General features: G+C 39.8%; 1 protein-coding gene and 1 pseudogene across 10 annotated transcripts in view, besides 1 other annotated feature; one reads left to right on the forward strand and one right to left on the reverse strand.

The window, feature by feature from the left end:
- Positions 1 to 27822, forward strand: part of TMEM117 (transmembrane protein 117) — a 603307-nt gene that overhangs the window by 199175 nt on the left and 376310 nt on the right. The gene's annotated exons all lie outside the window — the stretch shown is intronic.
- Positions 5425 to 5474: an enhancer, noted in NCBI's record as "active region_6220". NCBI's record gives its function as "activates an Ori minimal core promoter by ATAC-STARR-seq in GM12878 lymphoblastoid cells {active_cell/tissue: GM12878}" and the evidence as "EXISTENCE:reporter gene assay evidence [ECO:0000049][PMID:35858748]".
- ZNF75BP (zinc finger protein 75B, pseudogene) lies at positions 13009 to 15557 on the reverse strand (annotated as a pseudogene).

Below are 27822 nucleotides of genomic sequence, written 5' to 3' on the forward strand. Positions count from 1 at the left end.
TCAGAAATTAAGGAATTCGGTTGGGTGTGGTGGCTCATGCTTGTAATCCCAGCACTTTGGGAGGCTGAGGCGGGTGGATCACGAGGTCAGGAGATCGAGATCATGCTGGCAAATATGATGAAACCCCATCTCTACTAAAATACAATTAGTCGGGTGTGGTGGTGCATGCCTGTAGTCCCAGTTACTCAGGAGGCTGAGGGAGGGGAATTGCTTGGACCCGGGAGGCGGAGCTTGCAGTGAGCCGAGATTGCACCACTGCACTCCAGCAAGGCTCTGTCTTAAAAAAAAAAAAAAAGGAAATTAAGGGATTTGCTGAAGACCGCAGAGCTTGCAAAACTGGCCTTTAAACTTTGACTCTGAAGCCTGTGGTTTTTTTCCCTCTGACTAGATACCTTTTGTAAAACCTGGTATCTCCTAAAGGTGATTGATTTTAGATGCCTTAGTGTTTACACAGGGATTGACATTGTTGTTACCAGATAGATTGGAACTCTCTCTCCATACTCTTTGAAGCACTGTAAAGAAGCCATCGCTAGTGATTACTTGTCTTCTTGTTTTTTAAAATTTTTAAGTCAATAGTTTTTGGGGAACAGGTGGTGTTTGGTTGCATGGAAAAGTTCTTAGTGGTGATTTCTGAGATTTTAGTGTACTCATCACCTGAGCAATATACACTGTACCCAATATGTAGTCTTTCATCTCTCACCTCCCTCCCATTAGATAATGCTAGCTAGTGATCTGGACTTTGTATGATCTGTGGAATACTGAATGCTCAGATATCACAGGCTACAAGAAAACAGACTAATAATCCCCACATTACCAAAACAATAACAGTAATATGATAAATTTCCAGATTATAAAATTAACAACTGATGTGATTTTAATGAATCATCTCTGAAAACTCCTTGTTCTGGAGTTTTGTCTCCAAATAAACTCATATATTCTCTGGACAACTTTCACAATTACTGTAGAAGTCACAAGAAAGCTTGTAGAACTTTGTCTCATTCCCCTGGATTTTAACTAGGGTTATGTATGAGCCTGTCTTAATGTGTTGCAGAATTTAACCTGAAACAAATATAGGTAATGTTAAAAAAAAATGACAACAGAAATCTTTTACTGTTTCATGCTGATTGTAAAAGTAATACAAGCTTATTGAAGAAAAAATATAGAACAAGTAAAACATTTAGAAAAAATGAAAGTTATTCATGATTCTATTATCCAAGTAAACACTATTAATGTTTTAGCGCATTTTCTTACAGTGATTTTGGTATATATTATGCTTTCTAAAGTTGAGATTGTTTCCTAGATACAGTTTTATTTCATTTTCACTTAAAAGTTAATGAATCCATTTTCACTGAAACGTATCATTAAAATTTTAAAGAAACATTATTGGCTGGGGCCAGTGGCTCACACCTGTAATCCCAGCCCTTTGGGAGGCCGAGGTGGGCAGATCACAAGGTCAGGAGATCAAGACCACCCTGGATAACACGGTGAAACCCTGTCTCTACTAAAAATACAAAAAATTAGCTGGGCGTGGTGGCGGGCGCCTGTAGTCCCAGCTACTTGGGAGGCTGAGGCAGGAGAATGGCGTGAACCTGGGAGGAGGAGCTTGCAGTGAGCTGAGATCACGCCACTGCACTCCAGCCTGGGCCACAGAGCAAGACTCCATCTCAATAAATAAATAAATAAATAAATAAATAAATTTAGGGAATGTCTGTGGGATTTTCTCCCAGCATGATCCTTTCTTCTGTTGTCTACTATGGTTACTATAGGAGCAGCCATCATCTTGTATAACCATATCCCAGTGGCAGTCTTTAGTCGGATCAGAGATGGGCACTTGACTCAAAATGAGCTTAGTGGAGCACTACCTTAGGAAAAAAATTTTAACTTGGAACCTCCCTGGTAGCTGAAGCAGTGGGAACTTTCACTGGGCATATTTGTTGGTGTCAGTAAGAGGAAATTAAGTTGACAATATAGAGAGCAGATACAAGAGTCAGAAAAATTATCCAGACAGTGCCTGTGATTCCAGTTGTTCTGGCGGCTCAGTCTTAAGCCAGTAGATTCTTTTTGTTGACGCTAGTTTGAGTTGGATTTCTGTGGCATTTTACAAAATGTTCTAATACATTTGCTTTAGAAGGGTAAAGATTAAAAATCTGAGGCCCTGAGAGATTGGGTAAGCTGGAAAGTGGTAGAACTAACATAGAACCCAGATATATTTGACTCCAAAACCTGCATATGCAACCATTAAGATTCATAGTCTTGAAGCAGAGTATTTCTGGAACTTCTCTCTCCATGTGGTTCTCTCCAACAGAAATAGCAGCAAGAACAGGTGAAATGATGCATAGGTACCTGCTTGTTTTAGTTTTGTTTCCATTTTTCTTCTTATTTTTTTGGTATAAGGACAGGGGACTTAATAAGAAACAATAAGGAGATCTTCCTTTTTTTCTACTTGAATATCTCCACTTCTATTTTCAATATATACCCTGTCCATCAAGTTCAGACTACATATTTAACTGGGACTAGTTATCAATTTCTTTGCTAAAGATGACTGGTTTCTTTCTGCTTCTTCCTTTGCATCCTCCAATTCTATTCCCCTTAAGTTCTAAAAATAAGAACACCTTATGTAGAACACCATATATAGAATCTGTAATTTCTTATTTTCATTATCATCATTACCATTGTCACTGGCATTGTATTTACTGAGTGCTTGCATGGGCCTCGCATGAATTAGGCAAATCAATATTATCTCATCTAAGTTTTACTATAAAGCCCTGTAGGCCCACCTCCTCTTTGCCTCCTACTACCATTCTTATTATTGATATGCCATTGTTGTTATGGTTCTCTCCATTTTGTATATGAGGAAACTGAGCCTCAGAGAGCTTTTCTGACCTTTCCCAAGATCACATACCTAGTAAGTGTTGGTGCCCAGATTTGAATCCAGTTCAATCTCCTTTTAAAGTTCATGCATGCACTCATGCTAATATTACCACTTATGCCAGATTCTGTGATAGAGCTGGTTCTCACAACTGCATAGGGAGAGGGAGATAAACAGATAGTGTTCTTACTAGTCTAGTAGAGTGTCTGGCTGCTAGGCTATAAGTCCAAATCAGTGTTTAAAGCGCTATGGAATCAACTAGGGAAGGTAAAATCTATAGCAAAAATCCCTCACAACTGGTGCAATACCTAGATTATTTTGTAGATAGGATAGTGGTTCTGCCTGCAAGCACAGGACTTAAATTACTGCTTGGGAATTCCAGAAACAAAATCATCCAGACATTGGTAGAGGGAAAGGCAAGGACTGGAAATGTTGTCAGGGCTCCAGCCAAGAATATAACTTTCTTTTAATTAGTGTTAGCATAGTATATCTTTATCTATCCATTTACTTTTAATCTATATGTCTTTATATTTAAAGTGGGTTTCTTGTAGACAACATATATTTGAGTCCTGGTTTTGGATACACCCTGATAATCTTTCTTTTAATTGGTGTTTCTAGACCATTGATATTAAAGTGACTACTGTTATAGTTAGGTTAATGTCTACCATATTTGTTACTGTTTTCTATTTATTCATTTTGGACATATCACATTTTATTTAAGAAATCAATTCCAGATGAAGTGTAAGTCTAAACTTGTAAAATAATACAACTGGAAAATTAAAACATAGGAAATTATTTTCATGATTTTGAGTAGACAGTTATTTCTTCACCAGAACTCCAACAGCACTAATAATGAAAGAAAATATTTGATAAATCGGACTACATTATGACTTGAAACTTCCCTTCATCAAGGGACATCATTAACTGAGTGAAACAGCAAGCCAGGAAGTAAGAGAAGATATTTGCAGTATATGTATCTAACAACTCAAATTTAGAATCAAACAAATCAGTAAGAAAAAAGATAGACATAGAAATATGGTCAAGAGACTTAGCAGGCACTTCACAAGAGAATATTCAAATACCCAAACACATGAAAACACATCTTAATTGATCATCAAGGAAATACAGATTATAACCACAATACAGTACTACAATTCACTCACTAGGAAGGCTAAAATGAAAAAGACAATCTCAAATGTTGACAAGGATAAGGAAACCCTCATACACTGCTATTCGGAATGTAAATTGGTACATTTTGAAAAACACTTTGGCAGTTTATAAAGAAGGTGAACATATATCAATATTCCAGTCATTCCGCTCCTAGAATGCTAGAATGCTGCTGTATGTTATTTTTCTTGATCTGGATGATAATTACAAGGATGTTCACTTAGTAAGAATTCACTGAGTTTTACACTAAATACTCCTGTTTGTGTGTCATGCTTCCAAAAAGGTTTCTTTTAAAATGCATATAAATAGAAAAACTTTCTTGTGACCATGAGGCTAAGTGCTATGTTTCTTCTGACTGAGCTATTACAGTTATTAAATGCTTTTGATCAAACCAGAAAAATGTTATACATTTAAATAATTATGAGGAAAAATTAAAATGTATTAAAAATCCCACTTCTAATGATGCAGATGGTTTTTGTTTGTTTGAGACAGAGTCTGGCTGTGTTGCCCGGGCTGGAGTGCAGTGTTACAGTCTTAGCTCACTCACTCTGCCTCCTGGGCGGAAGTGTTTCCTACCACCTCAGCCTCCCAAGTAGGTGGGACTACAGGCACACGCCACCACAGCCAGCTAGTATTTTTGTTATTTGTTTTTCTTTTTTTGTAGAGACGGGGTTTCACCATGTTGCCCAACCTTGTGTCAAACTCCTGAGCTCAAGCAGTCCACTCGCCTCAGCCTCCCAAAGTGCTGGGATTACAGATGTGAGCCACCGTGCCCGGCTGGATATAGATGGATTTTTGAAATTAGTTCATACCATGAATTAATATTAGTTATTTCCAGAATAAAGCTTGGCTCACCACCAATTAAATCTCTATTTCTTATTTTCAGAGATGGTATGTTAATGGGAATGAAAGGAATTTTCTTATAATAAGGTCATTCAAAATTTTAAATTTCCTTTAGAGTTATATGGCACAAATTAAATCCTGAACTATCATCAATTTTGCCCAATGATCAGCTGACTAATTGATGAAGTCCTTCTTCAGTTCTGTTGAAAGGAAAACACAGGAAATCATTTGCTATGCAGGATTTCCTTCCCAGCCTTTCCTCCTTTCCTGGGCTAGGATATTTTGAAAGCCCCTTTGGCTCCTGGGAGGTGGTAAACTCTGGGGCAATGTACCCGGGTAAGTTCAGGGAAGGAGAAAGTGGTGGAAGAGGTTAGTGAAAGGAAGGCAGGAGAGAACCTCCCTCGAGGTTTCTCTTGGATAGGTCTGGGGAAGAAGTATGTATGGAACTGAGGATTTGAAAATAGATTCCTTTAGAATTCTTCATGCCCACTATTCCCGGGGCAGTCTTTGTGTACTCCCAGAGGCAAGTGACCCTTGTTTGAATACAGCTGACTAAGGACTTCTCAGGACTTGCTCCTCAGACTGCATCTCCAGAGGCCTCTCTGGGTCTTAAACACCTGTGCAGCTGCTGACTTGTAGGGGCTGAGGAGCTGCAGGCCCCAGAGGTGAGGACTCTCTGAAACCACTAGAGGGAGCCCCAACTTTCTCAGAGGACTTTGGACAGGCCTGGGCAACTGGGCTGAGTCTTACTCAGCACACTGTCAACTGTACCTCCGGGACACTGGATGGATCTAGCCCTTGCCCACCTCCAGAATGAAGCAAGGGCTAAGAGTGTTCAGAGAAAATTGAATCTCCCTGGAGAGAAGTAGGTCCCTGCACTTCCCTGCTACATCATTTCAGGCTTCTCTGTGACCTCTTCCCGGGTCGGTTTTCAGTGGGGACAGCGTGCAAGGTGGGCTGAGTTGCAGAGGGCCAACAGGTAGCAAAGTGGAGGAGACACAGCACTAGAAAAGAGAAAAACCAGTTTGCAGAGATGATTCCTGGGTGTTGAGGTCAGTTCCACCCTTAGAGGTCACCAGATCCCAGAGGTCCTCACTATGTATCCAGCTTTGAAGTTGTGGTGACTGATGTGCAAGGGCCCAGAAAAGCAGATGGAAGAAGTGCTAGTTCATGAGTTCCTGCTCATGGAGACCCAGAGGTCTTCGACTCCTCGAAGGCTTCTGGCAGTCCCGGAGACATCAGGAAAATTAGGAAGACAGGCATTGGAAGCTTCTACATTGAGGGAACATATGGAGATTTTGTACCACTCTTAATTATTGGTGCAGATTTGCCAATTGGATGAAAATAAGGTACATATTAAGTTCACATTTAACCCTAAAATGGTCAGGCCCATCTATTCAGAGAGTGTATATAGATACCTAGCTCTGGGCCAGCCTTTGGTAGAATTACTAGGCTTCTAAGGCAACCCCTCCCCTCTGGAGAAAGTACAGGAGAGGTGCTCTAAGATAGTAGTTCTCCAAGTGGGGTTGCTGGAACATCAGCATACCTGAGAACTTGTTAGAAATGCCAGTTTTCTGGCCCTACTCCAGACCAATTGAAGTAGCAACTGTGGTATAGGGACCCACTGATAGGTGTTTAATCAAATTCTGGATTCCAGAAGCTGTTCTAAGAGGACACTATGAAGTGAGTTTGTGGGGGCTACACGGAGGAAACAGGGTGTGATGCCAAAGAAAGGATTTGGACAGGTCAGGAGGCAATATTAGGGGCTAAAAACAAAGCATAATTGAAGACAAATTCACAGCCTGGTTCAGCATCTAGTATATGTGAGCTGGAACAGAGGAGAGAGAGTGGCTATCATCCAGGGCAAGGCGAAGTAAGGCCTTGAGGCTGAAGGAGGGAGTGGGACTTCAAGGGTATGGGAACTGGGAGCTGTTGCAGCTTTACGAGTGGAAGAGTGACATTGTGACCATTGTATTTGAGAAAAATTACTGAATATTTGGCACAGAAATCTCAAGCTGGGATGTTTTGAGGATTCTGCCTTTCCAGGGGAATTTCCCAGTGTCCATCCTTTCCTGTGACTCTCCTGCTTCAGAATGGGTAGAGGAGGGGCAATCAGACTGTATACAGGGACAAGAAGTGCTCCTGGAGGACATGGCACCACCTGTTAACAGGCCAGCTCTTTCTTAAAGAATTCAGGAGTGAAACCTCTGCTGAGGGGATATCCTGAGAGAATAGGTTTGGAACCCTCCAAGAGGAACAACAACAAAAAGCCCAGACCATCCTAAGAAGGGATTCCTGGACTTATAGGAGACAGCCAAGAGAACACCTGCACGAGGCTTCAACATAGAGAATGCCACCAAAATAAGGTTTTTACACTCTTGTCACTTACAGCAGAATGGGCCCAAGGTGAAGAAATAAAATTAGAATAACCCCTTTTATGGAAGCTGAGGGCCTCCCTAATGGAGGCCTTGGAGATGGGCAGATGCACGGGTACAATCTGAAGAGACAACCCCCTTTAGGGATGAGATCTTTTGCTACCAAACTCAGAGTCCCTCTGAAGTGTCTGCTGCAGCTCTCGGGTTGGGGTCAGTTCCTTTTTGTCATCCAAAGTCTCACCCTGAGATACCCAGAGCCTGAGGAGGGACAAGGGAAATCTTTCTAGGCATTGCCTAGCTCTTCCTCCCTACTTCATCCCTAACTCCCAGCCCTGGAGCTGGGAGTTTGCTTCCCAAAGCTGACCTGGCCTCCTTCCCTCCCTCCTTTCCCTGGGTTGTCCAGATCTAAGGGTGACATTGTCCTTCTACTGCTCTCAAACATGGCTTCTGACCTCTCCCCTCATATCTCATGATTATCGATCCTTGAGAGTTTCCCTGGCTCCCTGTCCCTTCTTCCTTCTCTACCAGTGTCCCTTGTCTGAACCCACAGTGGTAGGAAGGAGTGGGCAGCATGGACGGAGAAGAGGAAGTTAAAGAAGACAAGAATGAGAATGGGAGGGCTTTGCTGTTGAGCCAGGGACAGGACTTTGTAGGTGGCTCCCTCCTTTAGGTTCCTCCCCAACATGGTCATCACCATGCCCACCTACCTGCCATTTACTATTTTTCAAGGAATAAAGAGGAGGTAGCAAGGAGGGCCTTTAACTTACTTGACAAAGACTAGGCCATCATTCTTTTTTGTTTATTCTTTTCTCCCCAACCCTGCCTGCCATTCTCAGTTATTGTGCCCATTCTTCTGGGAACAGTGGAACACAGTAACACTCACTAGGCCCTGCCTCTGGCCCCCTCCTCCTCTACTGCCCTGGGAAAATGGAAGTGGCAAAGTGGCAGGAGCAAGATTGGCTTGTGGCAGAGGGAACAAGGTAATGAAGGAGGAAGAGGTTTCTTGGGAGTGGAGAAAAACCTAGAAGAAACTTTAAAAGGCCCATGGGTAGAAGCCATGTCATTGTCTGCTGGGAGGGAAAGATGGAGACCTGAATCTAGCACAGGGTAGGCTTGACCCACTCACATGCTCTTGTGCCTCAGCCACCGCAAACAATGGCATTCTGTGCCTGAATTCCTGACTTCCAACCTCAGGCCTCACAAATGCACACAGGTGGAAAAAGCCTGCAGTCCTCTGCTCTCACAGACCCTTTCTTGTCTTTCTCCGCTCAGCCCATCTTCTCTGGGAGACTGAAATATGAACCCACACCCCCTCACACTTGGTTCAGGTCTTCAGTTCCATCTCTGCCTGTGGGATCTGGAGTTGGAGCATTCCGCCTCTTCACTCTGTCCCATGCATGAATAATCTGTCCATTTCTCTAGTCCCTGAGCTTTTGTATGCTGTCTTTCTCTTGTGTCCTCAGAAAGGCAATGGAGTTTATGTCTCTTAGCCATGTGCTGAGGAGGTGGTGGGCAGATATGCAGTAGAATGACATCTTTCTCCTTTATCTCATTTTGCCATTTCTTTCCTTACTGCCCATGTCTCCATGGACATATGATTTTTCTCTTTTTCTGTGATGGCAAGGAAATGACATGAGTAGTCAGGATGCATAGGCAATGTGGCCCTGGGGGACTGTGTCAGAGGGCTGAAAGGGCAGACTTGGCACTAATGAGTCAGTCAGAAGCCCTGACATTCTGGTCCTGTTCTACAACCTCAGGGATGAGAATATGCTTTTTTCTGGAGCCCTTGTACTCAAATAATGGTGGAGTATCTGAACTTGGAATAACAAATCTCAATTCTCTGTTTCTGCTCAGACACATCTAAAGGTAATCATTTCCTGCCACCTGCCATAAATAATTGATCTCTCAAATAGAACCATGTTTCCTGCTCTCGAACCCTGCTGGTAATGATGCCAGTGTAGATGGACCTGCACGATAAGCTTTGAAGCTAACAGGGATTATAACAGGGGTAAGCAGCTTTGGGAAAATGGAGTGCTCTTTTGCTGACTTGTTTCTGGGGACTTTGCTGATCCTCATGAGGAGCAATAACTGCTGGGTCCATTGATCTAGTACATCCTTGAATTTTTGAGTTAACTTCCTTTCTTTCTAAAAGCTACATGAATAAATTCTTTGGAATGATGGTATGCTAGCATCTATCCGGGATGCCAGCAAACATGGATTTACACAAAGAGAATGGAGCCCTCTGCAGGAAGTTGAATTTCCCCTTTTAATTTCAAGGGCATAATCTCAGATCATTGTAGGGAGGATGGTGGCACAGTCATAATCTTCAGCCTTTGGGAATATAATGAGATCTTTTCCTCCCAGATCGCTTCCTCCTCTTGGCTTAGCATTTTCATTCTTTTTAGTGGCCAGTTTATATGATCACCTCTTTCCTCTTTCATTTCTACTTTATTGGCTTGAGGATGCACCTAAGAGCATAAATATTGTCTACAAAAATTCCACCCCCAGCCATCACCTCCCCTCCATTTTCAGGAATGTCAAGTTGGGGGTTTCTAGTATATTTTTGTTTTGTTACTCATGAGCAGTATACCTAGCTGAGTTGGGACATCAGTATATTGTTTCAGGCTGACTAGAGAGGAGCACCTCCAGAAAGAAATATCATGCAGAAGGCTACCATTCTGACCATTATTAGTGGGCCTAAATACCAGCTAGAAATGTGGGAAAACTCATTAATGAAGGATGCTTAAAAGCCGGACAAGTAGTAGACAAAGCTTATTTTCTAATAACTAGCTGAAAGAAGAATGAAGAAAGTTCCAAATGTTTAGGAAACATCTACTGTGGCCAGTCATTGTCAGGCATGCTCACATGTGTGCATTTAATTCTCACAGTAGCCCTAGGAGGTAGGAATTATTATGCTCATTTTACAAATTTGTAAACAAGATTAGAACGGATTCTTGGTAGAAAAAATACCTGAAGACCTCTGTTGCAAATAAGTGAACATTGGCCATTTCTGGGTGATTTGGTAACAAAGTTTTGTTTAATGTCTAAATTTAACGTGAAACGTCATTTTCATTAAAAAGTACAATTTTATGAAATACTAAATATATAGAAGCCTTGGCCAACATTATAAACCAGGATCTGACATAAATCCATACCTTCCAACTTCCTTTGACATCACATTATCTTTTCATAACAGATAGTCACATTGGCTAATAGGGTAAAGAAGAAAACCAATAACATCAGAAAACAATTCCATCCAGCCTTGCTCTGACTGGGGTCATCACTCTAGGCCACATGCCTTATTTTGCTCTGACACTTCAGGATGTTTCCTGCTGGTATTAGCTGTGCATCAAGGCTAAGAGGTCACAGCGCTGTCCTTGCCATTCTCAATAAATCAGTTTTGCAAAATCTCCAGGCCTTCTTGCAGAGGATTCAGACATAGAGGGTGATATAGGTGATATAGTTTTGCTGTGTCCCCACCCAAATCTCATTTTGAATTGTAACTCCCACAATGCCCACATGTTACAGGAGAGACCCAGTGGAAGGTCATTGAATAATGGGGGCGGGTCTTTACCATGCTATTCTTGTGATAGTGAATAAATCTCACAAGATTTGATGATTATATAAGGGGGAGTTTACCCTGTACAAGATCTCTCTTTTTGCCTGCTGCCATCTGTGTAAGACATGGCTTTCTCCTCCTTACCTTCTGCCATGATTGTGAGGCATCCCCAATTACGTGCAACTGTAAGTCAATAAACCTTTTTTTCCTATATAAATTACCCAGTCTCGAGTATGTCTTTATCAGCAGCATGAAAACGGACTAATACATAGGGTTGTAGCGGATCAGCTATAAAGATGGGCCTCCCTTTAGGCCCTGCAGCAGTATGGCACCAGTTTGAAAGCCTCCATCCAGTCCACATAATGAAAATCAGAAAAAGAACATTCACCACTTATCTGTGCTTTCTGCAAAGAAACAGATACCGGGGTGAGGACCAAGACTGCCTTCTTCTTCATGTCATTTTGTATGTCTGTGTAGACAGAGTCGGCAAGAAGGGAGATATGAAGTGCTTGCAAGGTACCTAGATCTGTCCTTGCATTCAGACATTCCCTTGCTACTTGTAATTCCTTGACAGAAGACATTGTGGTAGTGGGTACTTAGGAGAGAAACAACTAGAATGGGGCATTTTTCCCAAGGCAAACATTGAATCCTCTCTTGCTGTTACAGAGTAAAATTCCCTGAGGCCTGGGCTTGGTTTTTCATGCAGATTGAATGATAGCTTTTAATACTGTCTCTAATTTAGTAATTCTCTGTGAGCTCCCTTGAGAAGAGGGCCCAGGTACTCTTATTTTCCATCTCTCACAAAGAATCAATAATGAAACTAAGTATTGACCATTATATATGTCAAGCATATGATATCTGAAGAATTTAGATGGCTGGGGGCGGGGAAACTTTGAATAACCAGATACATACATATAGATAGATAGGTAAAGATATCTCATAGCTCCACTTTCATTTTTTTTTGTTTATAAAATATTCACTATGTGTAAGTCTTGTGCTAAGCACTGAAGATGCAATGCTGAATAAGACAGCGTGGATTCCTTTTTGTGAAGCATAAGATGTATCTCTCCCAAATATTCTATTGATGACAGACTTCTATCATTAGAAGCCTCATAATTTTGTATTCTTTCATCACTTCTAAGGTCAAGTTTTACATGGTAACCTTCCTCAGTTTAGAGACATACTTGTTTTCTTACTTTTTAGATATTTGTCCTAGAGTTTGCAGTATACATTTACAAGTAATACAAGTCCCCTTTCAAATAACACTATACCACTTGATGGGTAGTGCATGTACCTTATAATAACAAGATATTCCTAATTCCTCCCTCTCACCCCTTGTATAATGGCTATCATTTGTTTTACTTATACAAAACTATACCTAAGCATATACACATGAGCATACATAATCAAATATGTTTTTGCTCTTATTTTGAACAGATTGTCAGATTAAGAATAAGAAAAAGAAATTTTCATTTTATGTTCATTTATTTCTTGATGATGCTCCTTTTTTCTTTATGAAGATCAGAGTTTCTGACCTGTATCATTTCCCTTGTCTCTGAAAAACTTTTTTCTAACATTTCTTGCAATATAGGTCTACTGGCAATAAATTTCCTCTTTTTTTTTCTTGCCTAAGAAAGTCTTTATTTCTCTTTCGCTTTTGAAAAATAATTTCACAAGACACAGAATTCTAGCTTTTTTCAAGAAAAAAAGTGAGTTTCTTTCTCTCAACCCTTCATTACAATGGTCCCTCCTATCCATAGGGGATACATTCTAAGACTTCTAGTGCATGCCTGAAACTGAGGATAGTACTAAGCCCTCTAAATAGTATTGATATGGTTTGGCTGTGTCCCCACCCAAATCTCATCTTGAATTGTAACTCCTACAATTCCCATGTGTAGTGGGAGGGACCCAGTGGGAGGTAATTGAATCATGGGGGCTAGTATTTCTGGTGCTGTTCTCGTGATAGTGAATAAGTCTCATGAGATCTGATGGTTTTGTAAAGAGGAGTTCCCCTGCATAAGCTCTCTCTTTTTGTCTACTGCCATCCATGTAAGTCATGACTTGCTCCACCTTGTCTTCTGCCATGATTGTGAGGCCTCCCCAGCCACGTGGAACTGTAAGTCCACTAAACCCTTTTTCCCATATAAATTACCCAGTCTCGGTTATGTCTCTATCACCAGCATGAAAATGGACTAATAGAGTTGTAGCTGATCAGCCATAAATACAGGCCTCCCCTTAGGCCCTGCAGCAGTATGGCACCAGTTTGAAAGCCTCCATCCAGTCTACATAATGAAAGTCAGAAAAAGACCATTCACCACTTATCTGTGCTTCCTACAAAGAAACAGATACCTGGATGAGGACCAAGACTGCCTCCCAGATTGAATGATAGCTGTTAATACTGTTTCTAACTTAGTAATTCTCTGTGAGCTCCCTTGAGAGGGCCCAAATACTCTTACTTTCCCTCTCTCCTGACAAAGAATAAAGAATGAGTCTTGACTGTTATATATCTGTCAAACACCTGATACTGGAAGAATTTAGATGACTGGGGCTGGGGAAGCTTCGAATAACCAGATACATACATATAGATAGATAGGTAAAGATATCTCATAGCTATACTTTCATTTTTTTTGTTTATAAGATACTCGTTATGTATAAGTCTTGTGCTAGGCACTGAAGATGAAATGCTGAATAAGACAGCTTAGATTCCTTTTTCTGAAGCGTAAGATCTATCCCTCCCAAATGTTCTGTTGATGACAGATTGCTATCATCGAGTGCCTCATAATTTTGTATTCTTTCATCACTTCTAAGGTGAAGCTCTATGTGGTAACTCTCAGTTTAGCGACATTAAACATGCCTTCCTTCTTCTGTGGCTTTTCTGGTGTCTAAGACGGTTCAACCACCTACTAAAGTTTCTTCTGCATATGATACAAGTATAAGGCAGTTCACCTGTGTGGGTTCTCTGGTGTTTAATAAGGTGGAAGTTCTGAATGAATCTTTTTCCACATTCATGACATTTAAAGGACTTCTCTCCCATATGAATTATTTGGTATGTGTGTAGATTTGTGTCATGACTAAAGCATTTCCCGCACCATGAGCATCTATATGGTTTTACTCTTTGATGTGTCATGTAGTGCGTATTAAGATCTGAACTCCATCTAAACCTTGTGTCACATTGGTGACGCTTATAGGTCTTCTGTTTAGTGTGAATTCTCTGGTACTTAATAAGATCAGAGCTAACTGAAGCTTTTCCCACATTCCTGACATTTAAAAGGTTTCTCTCCTGTGTGGTGTTTCCCATGAAGACACATAAGTTTTGGAAGCTCTTGTTTACAAGTGGCAAGTTTCTTTACTTCCTTGGAAAAGCTCAGTGCTGTTTCTGTACCTTGTGTATATCACCATGATTTTCCCTGCCTGTTGTTTTCTGGACAATTTCATTCTGGTCTGTTTTGATATTTTGCATCCTAGCATTTGTATTTCTGATGCAGAAACCGATACAGGATGATCATTTCCAGTGTCATATTTTAGCTTTAACCCTAGAGAGATGACAGCTTCACAGATACTCTGCATTACAACATCATAAAGTCTTCTCAGGAGGATGCAATAATTGACATTCTTCCTCAGAAAAATACACAACCACTTCTTCAAATGTCAGCAAACTCTGGGACTCAGGCAGGATGAGCTGAGATGCCATCTTCCAGTCTTTGGTGCTTTTCTGCTCAGCACAGGCTAAAACCTGTTGAGCATACAAGACTCTTTCATATACAGGCTGGGTTTCTTTGTGAGTATTCCAGCCTAGCTGTTCTTGTAGTACCCAGTATATATTCCAACATTCCTTCTGGAACACTCGCTTTGGTTAGGGCTCCGCTGGTTTATACTTGAAGTCTGGGGTCACTGCTGTTCCTCCCAGGAGCACTGCCTTCTCTCCCAGCTCATGGGCTGTGACCTTATTCTTTGTTTGACCAGGTTCTCTCTGCAAGCGTTTCACCAAGACCAGAGCCTGTTTTGACATTCTGTGGATGATGCTTCTGCACCCAGTTCTGGGTATCCTTGTGCAAAATGGTCAGGAACTGCTCTAACATCAATATTTCCAAGATCTACTCTTTTGGGTGGATCTCTGGCCTCAATCACTGATAGCATAATTTCTGAAGTAGGCTGATAGCCTCTGGCGTTCCAGTTGCTTCATCGTATCAGAAGGTCTGGAAGTGCCTGTGAGTGCCCTCAGGCCGAGATACTCTATTTATGTGGTGTACTTCTTACTGGGACTGGAGTTCTCTCTCACAGACCCATTAGTCTCCCACATAGCCCCCATCTGGGGGTTCAAGTATGCATCTGCCTTCAGCTCTCTCATCATTGTTTGCTCTAGGAACAGTTTTAACCCTGTGTGTGACACTGACACCCACCTGGGGCCACCTCTGACAAATGAGGGTGCATCAGGTTTGGTACAATATCAATGAGTAGATCTTCCTAAGAGCACTTCAGTAAGCTCTGGCTTCCCTGGAGGCCACTTTCCTCTTTCTCAGCTTGACTACCCTCTGTTGCCATGTCTCCCTGCTGCTCTGGGTATTGAAGCTCTGTTCCTGCGCCACATGGGGAAGCGGTGTCAGGAAAGCGCACTATGCCTGGCAAGTGAAGCTCCAAGATTTTCGGAGCCTTGGAAGGGGCCCTGGAAGACCAGTTTTCCCATTCTATCCCTCCACCTCCCAGAGACCTTACCCAGATTCACTATTCCTCGGTCGACGTCTGTCTATTTTCTCTTTATTGCGCTTGTTCTTTGCTTCTGTTTTTGTGTTCCACACTTTTGCTGCCTTTTGTGGTTTAAATTATTTTATATGATTTTATATTCTCTCCTTAGAATATTACCATGCTTGTTTTCTTACCTTTTTAGGTGTTTGTCCTAGAGTTTACAATATACATTTATAAGTAATCCAAGTCCCTTTTCCAATAACACTGTACCACTTGATGGGTAGTGCATGTACCTTATAATAAGATACTCCTAATTCCTCCCTCTCATCCCTTGTATAATTGCTATCATTCATTTTACTTATACAAAACTGTATCTAAACATATACACATGAGCATACATAATCAGATACATTTTTGCTCTTGTTATTTTGAACAAATTGTCAGAGCAATTAAGAATAACAGAAACAAAAGTCTTTATTTTACCTTCATTTGTTCCTTCACAATGCTCTCCTTCATGAAGATTGGAAGTTTTGACCTATATCATTTCCCTTGTCTCTGAAGAACTTTTTTCTAACATTTCCTGCAAGATAGGTCTACTAGCAACAAATTTTCTCATTTTTTTCTTGCTTAAGAAAGTCTTTATTTTTCTTTCACTTTTGAAGAATAATTTCAGAGGGTACAGAATTCTAGGTTTTTTTCTAGAAAAAAGAGTTCCTTTCTCTCAACCCTTTATTACAATAGTCCCTCCTATCTGTAGGGGATACATTCTAAGACTTCTAGCGGATGCTTGAAACTGAGGATAGTACCAAGCCCTGTATATACTATTGTTATGGTTTGGCTGTGTCCCACTCAAATCTCATCTTGAATTGTAACTCCCACAATTCTCATTCCAAGTGGAAGTAATTGAATCATACATGGAGGTCTTTCTGTTGCTGCTCCTGTGATAGTGAATAAATGTCATGAGATCTGATGGTTTGATAAAGAGGAGGTCTCCTGCACAAGCTCTCTCTGTTTGCCTGCTCCCATCCATGTAAGACGTGACTTGCTTCTCCTTGCCTTCCGTCATGATTGTGAGGCCTCCCCAGCCATGTGGAATTGTAACTTAATTAAACCTCTTTTTCATCCTAGTCTTGAGTATGCCTTTATCAGCAGCATGAAAATAGAGTAATATAACTATATTCCTTACTATACATACATACATACATATGTATGACCAAGTTTATTTTATAAGTTAGGCATAGTAAGATATTAATAATATTAATGAAATAGAATAATTACAACAATATACTGTAATAAAAGTTATGTAAACATAGTTTCTCTCTCAGAATATCTTATGGTGTTATACCAAACTTCGTTTTGTTGTCTGTTCTCTGATAAGTGAGAAGACTATTAAGTGACTATATACATTTATAGCATATAAACATATATACACTGGACAAAGAGATGATTCACTTCCCAGGAGGGATGGAATGGGATGGTGTGAGATTTCTTCACACTACTTAGAATGGTGCATAGTTTAAAACTTATGAATTATTTATTTGTAGAATTTTTCATTTAATATTTTCAGACCACTGTTGACAGAGGGCAACTGAAATCGTGGAAAGCAAAACCATGGATAAGGGGGACACTGTATTTCACCCCAGTCTCTTTTTATTGCGTGGTTTCTGAGGGGAAGTTGGATATATTTCTTATCTTTTTTCCTTTATATGTAAGGTGTTTTTTTCCCTCTGGTTTTCTTTTAAGATTTTTTTCCTTATCTTTGATTTTCTGCAGTTTGAATACAATTTGCCCAGGTGTTATGTGCTTTTTTTGGTACTTGTTCTGCCTGGTGTTCTGTGAGCATCGTGGAGCTGTGGTTTGTTGTCTAACATTAATTTGGAAAAATTCTCAGTCATTGTTGCTTCAAATATTGTTTCTGTTTTTGTTTTTTTTTTTTCTGTTGCTTCTTTTTCTGATATTCCCATTACACAGTTATACCTTTCATGGTTAACCCACGGTTCTTATATATTCCTTTTTATTTTCTTTTTTTTTCCTCTTTGCTTTTTAGTTTTGGAGATTTCTATTGACATATTCTCAAAAATAAAAGTTCCGATATTTTTTTCCTCAGTCATGTCCAATCTATTAATGAGCCCATCAAAAGCATTCTTCATTTCTGATCCACTTGTTTTGATCTGTAGCATTTAAAAAAAATCCTTTCTTAGAATTTCATCTTTCTGCTTATGTTATCCATCTGTTCTTGCAAGTTATTTTTTTCGATAAAAGCCCTTAGCATATTAACGATAGTTTTTAAACATTCCTGGTCTGACAATTCCAACATTCCTGGCATATGGGACTCTGGTTCTGATACCAGTTCAGTTTTTTCAAACTGGGGTTTTTGCTTTATAATTGTTTTCCTTGTAATTTCTTGTTGAAAGGAGGACATGATGTACTGGGTAGAAAGAAGTGCACTAAATAGGCCTTCAGTGATGCAGTGGTAGGGTGTGGGGGGAGGGGAAGTCTTTTGTACTCCTCTGATTAGGTATCACACTTTTTTTCTTTTTTCTCTTTCTTTCTTGCTTTTTTTTTTTTTAGACAGGGTCTCACTTTGTCACCCAAGCTCATGTCCAGTAATGGCGTGAACAGGGCTTGCTGCCGCTGCCTTAACCTCCCAGCCTTAAGCGATCCTTCCGCCTCAGCCTCCAAAGTAGCTGGGTCTACAGGCTCACACCACCACACCCTAGCTAATGTTTGTATTTTTTGTAGAGATGGGGTTTCGCCATGTTGCCCAGGTTGGTCTCGAACTCCTGAGGTCAAGTGATCAGCCTGCAGCCTCCCAAAGCGCTGGGATTACAGGTGTAAGTCACCGCGCCCAGTCTAGGTCTCAGACTTTTAATGAGCTTGTGGCCCTGGGCTCTGAACTTCACCAGTGCTTCACAGTTTTTCCCCAACTTAGGCTGGATATGATGGCTAGGGTGGTCTGGAGTTAGGTATTTCCCTTCCCCCAGGTAGGTTAGGCTCTGATAAAATTCCAAGAGGTTAGGGTCTGGAGGGCAGGCCTTGCAAAGAACAGAATATCCTTTCTTTCATATTTCAAATGGTTCCTCTTCCTTCCCCACTGCTGAAAGTACAGGGGAATTTTTCTCTGATAGTCGCTGTGAGGGCCTGGAGATAAGACTCACAGAAGGGTGAGGGTCCTCCGTGGCTGGGTTCCCTGGAGGTTTTAGCTCTCAGACTTGTCCACACCGAGCCTCCATCAGTTTATCAATTGCAGCTCAGATTTATGTACCTCAGCATTGGTTCCTGAAGAGGTTTCTGCTCATGAATTCCTCCTTTGGTAAGTTGTGATTCTCTGTATTTGCCTGTCTGTCTCTCCAATTTGTGGTGTAGGGTTTGCCCTAAGACTTCACTTCACTGACAGATCTAAGAAGAGTTGTTGATTTTTCAGATCACTCAGCTGTTTGCTTGCTGTTAGGATGGAGTGGCAACTTCTAAACTCCTGACATGTTGGAGTGGATACTGGAAGTTGAAAAAGGGTTTGAAACCTAACAAACTTTCAGGGGAGGGGCATAGGGAGAACAATAGACACCTCAGATACAACTGTGGACTAGAGAAGGAAAGACTTGTGTCCTTTTCACGGTGAAGCCTGGGCAGTGGGAAGCCGTATTCAGAAGTCCCCCTGTCCCCCACAGCACAAAAGCAATAGAGCTGAACTGGCTCTAGGTAGATAGGCCATTGCAGGTAGACGGGCCATGGCAACCTTGCAGAGTTCCAGTCACCCCACTGTGGTGCAGAGAATAACAGAATCATTTTATCTTTGTCACTGAGGGTGGTATGGACATGCTCCCTCAGCAGACCTGATGAGGCCTTGGGGTTAGGATGAGGGGGATAAGATGAGATTGAAAGATGAAGCTGATGACTGTAGGCCAGGTGCCTGAGGAGCTGAGTTTCTCATAACCTAACATGAAGTGTCTGCTTCCAGAGAGGATATGAGCCCGAGGTAGAAATAGCTGGGGTATGTCCTGAGAATTTCTAACATGTTCCCAGGTGATGCTGATGCTCCTAAATCTGGGATAACACTTTGAAAACCACTGCATTGTTTTATTCCAAACTTCCTAACCTCCTATTATTTGTTAAGTATAAGTAGATCTATGCATAATCAAAAGATACGTTACACTACCCAATTCCACAGGTGGTGTACTCTCTTGTACTATATGGTTAATCACCTAGATGTAGCAAGGAAAATGAACACTGGTATCTCCCATCTGTTGGTTACTGCTATTTTTTCCCCTTGGTGTTGTGCTTTTATGTTGACACTTTTCTTTCTTTCTTCCTTCATTTTCTTTGTTCTCCTTACTCTGATCTTTCCTTATAGCCTCTATTTGTTGTACCGTTTTTTTTCTATGTTCTGTGAAATACTGTGATCGGTATGTGAAAATAATATCATTTAATTAAGCTTTAAGGCACACTACCTTGCATCTAGCCTGAGAACAGCACAAGCCTGCTGTAATTTCTATGATTGGCCTCACTTAGGAGATTTTATTTGTTGAGAGGCACCTGAAAAACCTTAGCAAACTTGGTTCAGAAAAAAAAAATGGTGGCTACAGTAATAATATATAACTCAGAGATTTGAGACACAGATGATGTAGTTACCATAGGAAATTTTTTTCCTCTTTGGCTGTTATTACTCGTACTGTCTACAAGATCTGTCCAAGAACAGTGTATCATCTAAAAGAGGGGATGCTGGACTTAAAAAAATAAGTGAAAAAGAAAATTTAAATTAGAAGTCTTAAGTCAGTCATTGTATCCATATTGATATTCTTAACTGAAAAAGAACAAAACCCAGGAAGGCTTTTATTTATCGATTCCATGAAGAACATATTTCTTTTGTGTCATGGTGATCAGTGATTTTTGAATATATATATCTATAATATACTCAAATAAGATTTCTTGGTATTTTTTGGACTTAAAATTTTTGGATTGTATGATTCTGAGACTTACATGCATATGTTCATCTCATAAGATGGAAAAGCTTTTGCTCAAATTTTTTTTTGTCCATGTTGAAATGAGAATTAAAATCGCTAGAGGGCACTGTGGATAAGCATTTGTAGCAAAGATACCTATAGGAGCTAGAACTTGCCAGAATTTAGTTGTACAGGAAGTCCTCAATTACCGACATGTACTGGTCCAAAAATGTGCTTATAAATTAACTCTTCGGAATTCAGGATTCAGAGTGTATTTTCCTAATAGAAACAATAAAATAAGTAGTAGTATAACAATTTCCCAAGTTGACCTCTAATAGTCTGTTAAATATATATATGACACAGATTTGTTTGTTATGTGAAGGGAAGCAACAATAACAAAAACAAATATTATACACCTCATTGAGATATAATGGGATTTACCAAACAACAAATAAGACTATACAACTCATTTAGATATAATGGGATTTAAGAAAATTTTGATGTAGAGAGTTTTATTTTGGTGTGAACTGGCTTAATTACAAAAACCCACTAGCTTGGAAATATTACAGAGTTGCAATCTCTGTGTCTCAAAAACAAGAATAAAACAAAATACCCAGGAATAAACTGTTAATCTGTGGGTCACCCCCGTTGAATGGATTGATAGCACTACCCCCTCCTCCCAACTCCCTTCAGTTTTTAGTGGAGTGGGGTTCATACGGTTCTGCCTCCCCTGAACCCCACCTGGCTGCTTTGTTCTTATGTCCACTACCTCTCACTACTGCTGCTTCTCCTCCTGGTGCTGTTCAGTGGCATGTTTGGCTTCTTTCCCTTTTCTTTAAAGGCATCCAGATATCCAGCCAGTCCCAGCCTCTGGGTGAAGCCATTCCTCCTAGTTCCAAGCTAGCAAGGGTAATTTAGCACTGTTTGCTTGCAGACCTAACTTTGGGAATTCACTCAGTTCACCTCCCAGGTGGAAACGGGACCATCCCTATGGCCACAGCAGAGTCTCCCTTTCTCCCTGTGTCCCACCTGCCCTAGGAATGGTTCCCCTTTCCTCTTTCTTTCTTCAGCTTTCTTCCGTCTAACTTAATTACTGTTTTGGGATTATTTAATTTTTTTTCTCTAGGGCTTTCACTACGTAAGTCTACATTTCAATCAATGAGTGTTTTAAACTAGATGGGAAACAATACATGACTTGACAGTTAATTTGCCCTGATTTCTTGCCACACTTCCCTTTATTCTTTAGTGGAAATACAAAGTCACAGTTTTCTTTCATCTTTTACGAGCTAATGGGAATGTAGGCAGAGGTCAATGGTGAACAGAGTGCCTGAAGGTTTGTGGATGATGCAAAGTATTGGGAGAGTACCCTGAGCCCCACAAACCACCTTTATAATTTAGGTTGCATCAGTATCACCTGGGTGCCTGCCAAAAATACAGATTCTGTGAGGTGTTAGGTGGGACTCAGAAAAGTGCATTTTAATTAAGTATCCTTGATTATTCTGATGAGTGTTATTCTGGCCACAGATATAAATTGATAAATTATATAATAGTCCCTCCATCCTTAAGCCTCCTTTCAGGCAAATGTGTCATGGATTTTAGAGTGTTATCTTTTGTTTATGGGTTTTTGTTTTAAGGTGGCAAATGTGTCACTATCACCAAGGAGATGGGAAAGGTATGATTACTTTGATTTTTGGTGAGGTTGTGAAAAAATAATGTTTAGTAAAGATGAGCATCAATCTGATCTGCTCATTTAGCAGGATACATGTAGTATTTCCACCTACACTTTTCACAAAAGGAGAAAGCATTATTTATGAAGCCTTCTGTGTGTGTGTGTGTGTGTTTTAGGTGATAAATAATTGAAAGTAAAGGTTGGCATCACTATGCCATATCAAGCTTTTCCTTTTCTTTCTTTCCTTTTTTTTTTTTTTTTTTTGGTGATGAGACAGATGGTATTTTTTTCTATAGATGCCAAAAAAGGAAAAACCCCAAACCCACCAAGTCTCACAGTTGTGGAAAGAAATCTTATATGATTTCTAAAAGCAAGGATCTGCTGGCCCTCCTCTTACCCCAAAGACTAGGGACCATGAATCACTTGGAAAATAGATTTGTGTATTCTGAGTGCTTGTCACTGGGTTGGCTAACTTAGAGGGGTTTTTAGTTGAAACCAGGGCTTTCTAAGTATGCACTTGATAAGCATGTAAGAAGTAAGAACAAAATATATCCAGCTGATTAATAATGATATATTTCAAATATACTGGTGTTTAAATGGATATTAGACACTATGTTACCCTCTCCACCACTTCAAAATATTATAACATTTTAGGCTTTATAGTCTTTCATGACATCAAAGGTAATGTTATTATTTAAATAGAATAAGGACATCTGTTTTAGAAAGAGAAAACAGGTTCTTCAATGTGTGTTTTGGCTAGGCAAATGATAGCAGAAAAAACCTCTAATGCATCATTTTTAAATAGATCATTGAAATGACAGAGTTTTGATTTTTTTCAATGTTCTTTTTAACATCTGACAAGTCTAAGTACTTCTGTCTACATAAGTCACATACTAATTAGTAATTAACCACTGTTATTTAATTAGACTCTCTAGTTGGTACATCATGCATTGATCACTCCCAATTTGGTATGTGCTGGCTGCTCTTGGTGACTAGGCCACTCTGCTGGGGTTCATTTCATGCTGTGTGTTGCAGCTGTGCCCAGACACAACCTTTTTCTGCCTTTGTCTTGAAATTAGATAAGAAACATAAAAATGTGGAGAATTGAACTAACTCTAGTTAGTCAACTAGATTTCCAAAATGGTTACAAAAGGCAAAAGTGAATTTTTGCTGATTGAATGAAAAAAGGACTCTTTCGTTCAAAAATTCATTTTTTTCTCCTTTTTTATGCTTCAGATTTTCTTTCAGATGATTTGATAATGATATGTATGCTTTAAGGAAAGGTCAAAATTATATTTTAGACCTACTGAATTTGCAAGTGTTCTAAGCATGCAATAAAAACATGTAAAATCTCTACACTATATTAGATGAAACACATTTGAAGTAATTTTAATTAGAAATGGCCAAAGTAATTTAGAGACAATTGTTTTAATAAAAATGGTACATTTCTTAGATTATGAAACTAACTTTTTGCACTGTTTATTCCATTGGTTGTTACATAAATGGAGACTTCTGCTATTATGAATTCCTTAAACCACATAGTATGTCTTAAGCAACTCCTAGGACCTTATCAATATTTTATCCAGAAAGTACTCTTGATAATTAACTCTACTGTTTTTATTTTTCTTTTTTTCTTTTTCTTTCTTTTTTTTTTTTTTAGAAGAAGTCTTGCTCTGTCGCCAGTCTGGAGTGCAGTGGCGCAATCTTGGCTCACTGCAACCTCCGCTTCCCAGGTTAAAGCAATTCTCCTGCCTCAGCCTCCCGAGTAGCTGGAATTACAGGCACACACCACCACACCTAGCTAATGTTTGTATTTTTAGTAGAGATGGGGTTTCACCGTGTTGGCCAGGATGGTCTTGATCCGCCTGCCTCAGCCTCTCAAAGTGTTGGGATTACAGGCATGAGCCACTGTGCCCAGCCGATTAACTCTACTCTTGTAGCTGCACTCAACCCTAAGTGGACTTCACCTAAGTCAGTGGTTCTCAGCTCTGGGCAGAGGCCAGGGAAGGAGGAGATTTATGTATTCAAATTGCCTATAGAGTTTTTTGCTTGTTTAGTTGTGTTTTTGTATGAAAGAATGTTGTCTGGGGTGGGGCTTTATGATGAATGGCAGCCATCTAGTGTGACCAGACCATCATTTTCCCAGGATATGATGCACACAAAATCCTGAGACAAAGACCATCTCAGGCAAGTCCTGTAGAGCAGGTTGCGCACTTCCCTGAAAAGACTAGTCACAGTCAATTCTCACTCCCCAGGAGACCCATTGTAGTTTCACAGAAACGCTCACTTACAGCAGCCCTGACAGAGTGGCAGAGGGAGAAACAGAGGCTTCAGGAGGGTACTGGCTCATTCAAATCTGCACCATTAATAAGCACTGGAAGTAGGACCAGGTTTCAGATCTTTAGCTTCCTGATCTGGGGCTCTCTTCTCTATACATTTCTCTCCTCTTCCTCCTCATCTTCCTCTTTCTTCTTCTTCTGGATAAAGACATTTAGGCAAATAAGTTTAATGTGCTCATTATTTCAAGTTTTATGTAATGTTATTTCATAAATGTAATTTCTGATTAATTTTCATTTATTCTAGTTGGCAGGTTCATTAATCAGTGTAAATATGTGTAGATTATAAACTATGCAGTTGGTGCCTTTAATATTACATAGATATGTGGAAGTCCTTCCTTTTATTCTTAATTATCAAAAGATGGAATTCTGTCTCTAGAAAGTTTTGGAAGCATTCTAATAAAGGCTCTATGAACGTGAGTAATGAATCCCCCCAAACTTCTTTGATTTTTCCTCATTCCACATATGACAATCCCCAATTTGAGAAAAAAGCTCTTTTAAACAGAATGAAAGGTCTGTTTGTTCATATTTTGTAATAGAATCTGGTTGTTAAAAACACTCAGCAAATAGACATTCTTCCTCCTACTACCTCTGTGTAGCATAGGGAATGGTTTAGTCAGTAATGGTGTTTTCTTAGAAATTTCTAATAATTGTGCATATTAAAAATAAATTTTAAATTCAGAACAAACCAGGATTAAAAAATCCCAGGTTTTTTGGTCAAATTCAATGATCAGGTCTATGATATCTTTAATAAAAGAAATAACTCTTTCAATGAAAATAATATGGTCTGTGTTAGCAGTATCCAGATATTGTTGTCAGTGGATCATTATTCCCTCACAGTTATTTTATGTCTTTTTTACTATATGGAGCCCTATCTGACAAGGGTCAGCATTCTAAAAGTACTACATGGGGCAGTGGTTATGCCTCTTACTATCCACCTTCGATGTATTCTCTTGGTCAAAGACCAACTGTGAAGGATTTATAAAGTGGTAGCATGGCATAGTTCAAGAACTCAGTTTGAGCCAAGATTCCTGACTTCTCGTGTATTGTTACTGTCATCTACTTTTGTGTCCCTGGGACATCATTTATTCTGATCTACGAATTTAAAGGACTTCCCTAACATTATCATTTGTGCCTTTTAACCCTAAAGTTTTATGTGAGTATTTAAGCAAATATGTTGAAAACTTTGGGCATGCACTAAGGCTATGAATGCTGATTTAAACCTAGGGCTAGGGATTTTTTATGTAAATTTCAATGATTCCATAAACATTCTGTAGTTCTTGATAGGGTATTTTATACATATTTTAAGGAGTCAACAGTTTGCCAGAAATAGCTAGCAGCCAGAACTCAGCCCACAATCTACACGTCATTTGGAGAACATGCTAAAGACAGAATAGAGGCTACAATACATAGAAATGGCAAAATCCAAGATCCAGTTTATACATCAGTTGGTTAAGCAAATAACATATACCATGATTTGTGGTGCTAGCTGAGTTTGATGATAATAACTATAGGGCTTGCAAAACCCAGGCATTTATTTCTTTCTGCTTGTAGTGTGAAATCAGGGTAATGAAGTAGTTTGTTAAAAATATAAAGAGGAGGAAAACTCATGGATTTAACTATTGTTTTTCACTGTCTCACAGATTACCTGAAATTCAGTCAGTAGTTGAGAGATTTGTGTGTGTATATACGTAAATAAACTTATTTTAGGATCGGGGGTACATGTGATGGGTTGTTACATAGGTAAACTCATGTCACGGGGGTTTGTTGTACAGATTATTTCATCACCCAGGTATTAAGCCCAGTACCAAATAGTTATCTTTTCTGCTCCTCTTTCTCCTCCCATCCTCCACCCTCAAATAGAACCTAGTTAGTGTCTGCTGTTTCCTTCTTTCTGTTCATAAGTTCTTATTATTTAGTTCCCACTTGTAAGTGAGAACGTGCGATCTGGCTTTCTGTTTCTGCATTAGTTTTCTAAGGATAATAGCCTCCAGCCTCATCCATGTTCCTGTGTATAGTGTTATAGAACGGGCTAAAGAAGGCCCTGGTGTATTAGCTTGATTTGGCCTCTGCGTTGTTTACTTCTTCATAGCAGGCTAGGGTGGTTAGCTAGAACCAAACTCAAATTCTTACACATCCAGTTGCTTTAAATATAGCCCAAATAAGCATATTTTTAGACACTTAGAGCTTGCCTGTTTTACATAGCTTGTGAATCTGCACCCAGCATCTGCTAACCACAGATAAGACAAACTCCAGCAATAAAGACATGAAACCCTGCTGCCCTTTGATCCCTCTAACCCAAATAGTTTGCTGCTGAATGCCCTAACATAGGCATGTAAGCCACCTCTCCAAGTTCTCCTCCCCTGGAGATCCCTTGCCCTATTCTCCTTCTGAGTAGTGACCACCTGCCACTGTCTCTGGAAGTACTCTTGCTGGGAGGAACTTCCTCTCTCATGCAACCATAAGTTGCAATAAAGCATGCTCTGTGGTAGTGCCTCTTGGGGTCTTGCCTTTTCTGTGGTCAACCCCCAAATCCTTGAACTTACCACATATGTGTAATATATATCTATGAGTATGTTATTTAAAAATAATAAGCCAGGTAGGTTTGTTTCTGCCTTGGCATGAAGAAAATAAATCTACATGAAGGATGCATTAAAAATTGTTCCTTCATAGTATGAAATTGTAATTTGGTTCCTGTTTTTATGTGAACATTAAAGACAACATTATTTAGTGAAACACTAAAGGACTTAAAGTCAGAAGCCTTGAGTTTGAGCCTTGATTACTCATTAGCTGTGTGAACTTAGACAAGCCATTTAGCCTCTCTGAGCTGTAAAATAATGATGATACTACCTATAATTATTTTTATTGACCAAACTACAATACAAAGGTGACAGAAAGGCTGTAAAACAATGTAATTAAAACAGTGTAATTAAGAGAGTGAACTCTCCTTTGAAATTCTGGCCTCATGACTTGGGCGTCCAAAGGGGAACCTTTTTGAACTTGTTGTTTTAACCGTCAAATGAGGATAACAATACTACCTCATTCATGTGGTTACTCTAAGAATGAAAAGATGTCTCCTTTAAATGTTTCTAATGCATAGACATGCATATTATGTGTGTGCTTCAATAGTAAAATGAAGTACAAGTGTCATCTAAAGCATTTACAGGTGTCATGAGGAATGTGAGCATAATAAAGAAGGATGATGTTGAGGAGGGGGTGATATTCAGTTTTAAAAAAGCCATCAAGTCTTTAGGCAGTAATTTTGTATTGATGTGAAAAGTGTGAAATATTAGGAAGGGATAACACTCAGCAATAAAAGTTTCCCCAAATCATCAAAATAATTGTTGTATGTTCCTTTCTCATGATTCACATAGATATAGA

Source organism: Homo sapiens, chromosome 12 (genome assembly GCF_000001405.40).
Source record: "Homo sapiens chromosome 12, GRCh38.p14 Primary Assembly".
Lineage (NCBI taxonomy): Eukaryota > Metazoa > Chordata > Mammalia > Primates > Hominidae > Homo > Homo sapiens.